The 5,109-nt window shown below is 44.7% G+C and overlaps 1 pseudogene; it reads right to left on the reverse strand.

Annotated features, from left to right (window-relative positions):
* Positions 2,305-2,844, reverse strand: RPS11P2 (ribosomal protein S11 pseudogene 2; annotated as a pseudogene).

Genomic DNA, 5,109 nt, shown 5'->3' on the forward strand with positions numbered 1-5,109 from the left:
TGTGATTCCAAGTGAGTGCCACAAGCTCTTTGATTCTGTTTTCTCATTTGTAAAGTGAGAATAATAATACTGTTTGTAGGATCTACTATGAGGGTGAAACGATTCAATCCATGCCGAGTGCTCAGCACAGTACTTGGCACCTTGCAACATACAAAGGAGTTGCTGCTCTTATCAATTTTGCTCCATGCCTTTTTGAGCAAGCATCCCCGATTAAGCACCAATTTCTTAACTTGGTGTTGTATACGTTTTATCTTAATTAGGTGAGGTGTTGTATTAGTTGTATTAGTTTGCTGGGGCTGCCATAACAAAATACCACAGCTGAGTGGCTTCAGCAACAGAAATTTACTTGTTCACAATTCTGAAGGCTAAAATCTGAGATCACGGTGTCAGCAGGGTTGGTTCCTTCTGAGGCCTCTCTCCTTGGCTTGTAGATGGCCATCTGCTTCCTGTGTCCTCACATGGTCTTTTCTTCTGTGTCTGTGTTCTAATCTCCTTTTCATGTAAAGACATCAGTCATATTGGATTAGAAGCCTAGTGACCTCGTAGTAACCTCATTAACCCTTTAAAGACCCAATCCCCCAATATGGTCATATTCTGGGGTACTGGGGGTGAGGATGTCAATGTACAAACTTTTTGGAGTTTGTCCCATGACAGATGTGTTTGTTGTTGTTGTTGTTTGTTTTTGTTTTTGTTTTCTGAGACAGAGTCTTGCTCTGTTGCCCAGGCTGGAGTGCAATGGCGTGATCTCGGCTCACTGCAGACTCTGCCTCCCAGGTTCAAGTGATTCTCCTGCCTCAGCCTCCTGAGTAGCTGGGATTACAGGCTCCCGCCACCATGCCTGGCTACTTTTTGTATTTTTAGTAGAGATGGGTTTTCACCATGTTGGCCAGGCTGGTCTCAAGCTCCTGACCTAAAGTGATCCACCTGACTTGGCCTCCCAAAGTGCTAGGACTACAGGCATGAGCCACCATGCCCGGTCCCATGACAGGTGTTTTTGACCAAGAAAAGGCACCCTGTTTATATTTTATTATTTAAGAAGGCAAATTTTGAAGCATGTTAAAGGACTGAGAGAAAAGTTTCCATTGGAGGAAAAACTCAGAAACTCCAGAGTGGCGAAACCCAGATTTGCTTAGGTTTAGTTTGTTTGTCTGTTTGTTTGTTTCTGAGACAGAGTCTTGCTCTGTCGCCCAGGCTGGAGTGCAGTGGCATGATCTCGGCTCACTGAAAACTCCATCTCCCAGGCTCAAGCGATTCTCTTACCTCAGCCTCCTGAGTAGCTGGGATTACAGGCACACGCCACCACATCCAAATTTTTGTATTTTTAGTAGAGACAGGGTTTCACCATGTTGGACAGGCTGGTCTTGAACTCCTGACCTCAGGTGATCTGCCTGCCTTGGCCTCCCGAAGTGCTGGGATTACAGGCGTGAGCCGCCGCGCCGGCCGCTTGCTTAGGTTTAGATAGCTAATGAGTGGTAAGGGATTCCACTGAGTTCTAACCCAGCATTCTATCTACTTCCCCCGCCCCCATTCCTCAGCACCACTTCTGCGTGTCATTCTAAGTTTGCACGCCTCTTCGTATATGAGAATGATTCTTACAGCTTCTGGTGATTGGATGCTTTATTCAATAGAGCTGTTATTTCCCTGGGGCTGAAAGGCAGAGACATAGGCAGTTTTACAAGAGAGATTGAAAAATATAACAACGACACAAAAGGGTGGGGCTGTCCCAAGAGGACTGCTTGCTACTGTGTGCTTGCTTCAAATCTCCACTAACTCCTCATAAAACCTGGGACTGGAATTCTCCAGGCCCCACGGCTGCTATCACAGCTGCCTGTACCACACATGTGCCTCCCTGATGTGGCAAGGGTGGCCATATGTGGCTTATTAATAAACTTTCTCTGTCTTACAGATTGCCTCGAAGATGCCAGATTTCCCCAAAGACTCTGTTTGCTGGACTCTCTCCCTCTTTAAGTTTCCAGTAGCTATAAACACAGCCATCTCTGTCTTAATTCTTAATGACTGGAGGTAAAAGATTCTGCTGCTCTAATGCATTCAATCTAAACAGGTGATCTATTATTACAATGGATTAAGTTAAACAGTGTATCACTTTGATATGGTTTGGCTGTGTCCCCACCCAAATCTCATCTTGAATTACAGCTCACGTAATACCCTCGTGTTATAGGAGGGCTCCAGTGGGAGATAATTGAATCATAGGGACGGTTTCCCCCATACTGATCTCGTGGTAGTGAGTAAGTCTCATGAGATCTGATGGTTTTGTTTTTCGTTTTTTGTTTTTTGTGGTTTTTTGCCTGGGAATGAGAAAATAAATTTATTTCGTTGTGGGGAGCAGGCTGATGTCCAGCCTCAGAGCTCCTGGAACTGCTTCTTGGTGCTGGCGGCCTTGGTGACCTTGAGCACATCGAAGCGCACCGTCTTGCTCAGGGGCTGGCACTCGCCCACTGTGACGATGTCACTGATCTGGACGTCCCTGAAGCAGGGGGACAGTTGTACGGACATGTTCTTGTGGCCCTTCTTGAAGCGGTTGTACTTGCAGATGTAGTGCAGTCTCGGCAGATGACAATGATCCTCTGCATCTTCGTCTTGGTCACCACGCCAGAGAGGACCCACCCTCGAATGGAGACATTCCCAGTGAAGGGGCATTTCTTGTCAATGTGGGCGCCCTCAATAGCCTCTTGAAGCCCAGACTGATGTTCTTGTAGTACAACGGGGACTTCTCCTGCCAGTGTCTCCCAGCAGGACCCTCTTCTTGTTTTGAAAGGTGGTCGGCTGCTTTTAGTAGGCACCGTCTGTCTGAGTGACCGCCGTCTTCCCGGCCGCCTGAAAAAAGGGTCTGACGGTTTTATAAAAGGAAAGTCCTTTCACTTGGCTCTCATTCTCTCTTGTCTGCCACCATGTAAGATGTGACTTTTACCCTCTGCCATGATTGTGAGGCCTCCCAGCCACGTGGAACTGTGAGTCCATTACACCTCTTTTTCTTTATAAATTTCCCAGTCTCGGGTATGCCTTTATCAGCCGTGTGAAAATGGACTAACATACACTTCTTTCTTCATTGTCTTCTGTGAGACAGTAGATTTTGGAGGTTAAGGGAATTTGATTTGCATTTCTGGCTCCGCCTGTTCTTACTAGGTGTATAACATTTGGCAAGTTACCTAGCCATCCTAATACTGTTTTTCTTATCTCTAAAGTGGGGATAATAACAGTCTTCTCCTGAAGGTTATTGTGAGGATTAAATGAAAAGATGTAGGTGACACTAGTTGTGTAGTCTGAGACAGAATATGTACTCAATAAATGTTAGCTGTTATCATTAGTATACATCTTGGAGGAGGTTGGGAACGAACATGGGAAAAGTAACTAAGAATTAGCTTTTGGATCCTACCAAGCTGCTGGAGTTTGGGTCTTAAGTTTTCAACTTGATATGTCATATATAAAATTCTTTTGCGAACTACCTATCAGGTACTATGATTACTACTTGGGTGACTGGATCATTAGAAGCCCAAACTTCAACATCAAGCTATAGACTCATGTAATAAACCTACACATGTACCCCGTGAATCTAAAATTACAAAACAAATAAATAATTCATTAATTATTATTATTTTTTGAGACAGGGTCTCACTCTGTCTCCCAGGCTGGAGTAAAATGGCACAATCTCAGCTCATGGCAACCTCCAATTCCCAGGCTCAAGCAATCCTCCCACCTCAGCCTCCCAAGTAGCTGGGACTATAGGAATGCACCGCCACAACTGGCTAATTAAAAAAAATATTTTTTTCTAGAGCTGAGGTCTCACTGATTGCCCAGGCTGGTCTCGAATGAACTCGTGTGCTCAAGCGGTTCTCCCACCTCAGTCTCCCAAAGTGCTGGGATTAGAGGTGTAAGCCACCATGCCCAGACATGAAATTCTTTTTTTTTATTTTTTGAGACACAGCCTCACTCTGTCACCCAGGCTGGAGGGTAGTGAGCTCGGCTCACTGCAACCTCTGTCTCCTGGGTTGAAGTGATTCTCCTGCCTCAGCCTCCTGAGTACCTGTGATTAATGGCATCCACCACCACACCCAGCTAATTTTTTTCTATTTTTATTAGAGAAGGGGTTTCACGATGTTGATCAGGCTGGTCTGGAACTCCTGACCTCAGGTGATCCGCCCCCACTTGGCCTCCCAAAGTGCTGAGATTACAAGCATGAGCCACCGCGCCCGGCCTAAAGTTATTTTTCGGGTGGCTCATCCCCTTTCCTAGCTCATCCTTATTATATGAATGTGTTTGATATTTCTTTCCCATTTTTGCCAGTCTCTTTTTATTATTATGAAATAATTCTGGCATATAAAAAGTATGGAGAACAGTACAATTAGTAAGCATGTTCCCATAACCTACATTACGGGTAGGTTATGGGTACATGCTTTACAAAGCATTACAAAACATAGTTAAAATCTGAAAGTTTCTGTACACGATCCCCTAAACCTCTCCCAGGTCATCAATCTAAAAAGTCCTACACACCTTTATTCCATCTTAAAATGAAAATTCTGGCAGGAGCTTACCATTTGGACAAAACTTCAAAATGGTAGTTCTGTTTGAGAGCTAGTAAAGGAAGACGGCAATGAATAAAGGCAATGAATATAACTGGGCCTCAAACTCTGAAAATTTTGTTTTCCTAATTGGGATTGTTCATCAGCTCAGAGAGAAAACTGCAGCCACCATTTTTCTCTCATCCACAATATTCAGAGCAATGTTTTTCAAACTCTATTCCCTGACCCCTTAGTAAATCATGAAATCAATTTGGTGGATTAGGATCAGCAAGATTAAAAATAACAAAGCAGACAAAATAGAACAAAAAAAAAGGGTAAGCAAGGAGAAAATACCAAAGTGTGTGAGGGGGCCAGGCGCGGTGGCTCATTCCTGTAATCTCAGCACTGTGGGAGGCCGAGGCAGGTGGATCATCTGAGGCCAGGAGTTCAAGACCAGCCTGGCCAACATGGTGAAACCCTGTCTCTGTTAGAAGTACAAAAATTAACTGGACATGGTGGCAGATGCCTGTAATCCCAGCTACTTGGGAGGCTGAAGCAGGAGAATCATTTGAACCCGGGAGGCAGAGGTTGC

Source organism: Homo sapiens, chromosome 1 (assembly GCF_000001405.40).
Source record: "Homo sapiens chromosome 1, GRCh38.p14 Primary Assembly".
Taxonomy (NCBI): Eukaryota; Metazoa; Chordata; class Mammalia; order Primates; family Hominidae; genus Homo; species Homo sapiens.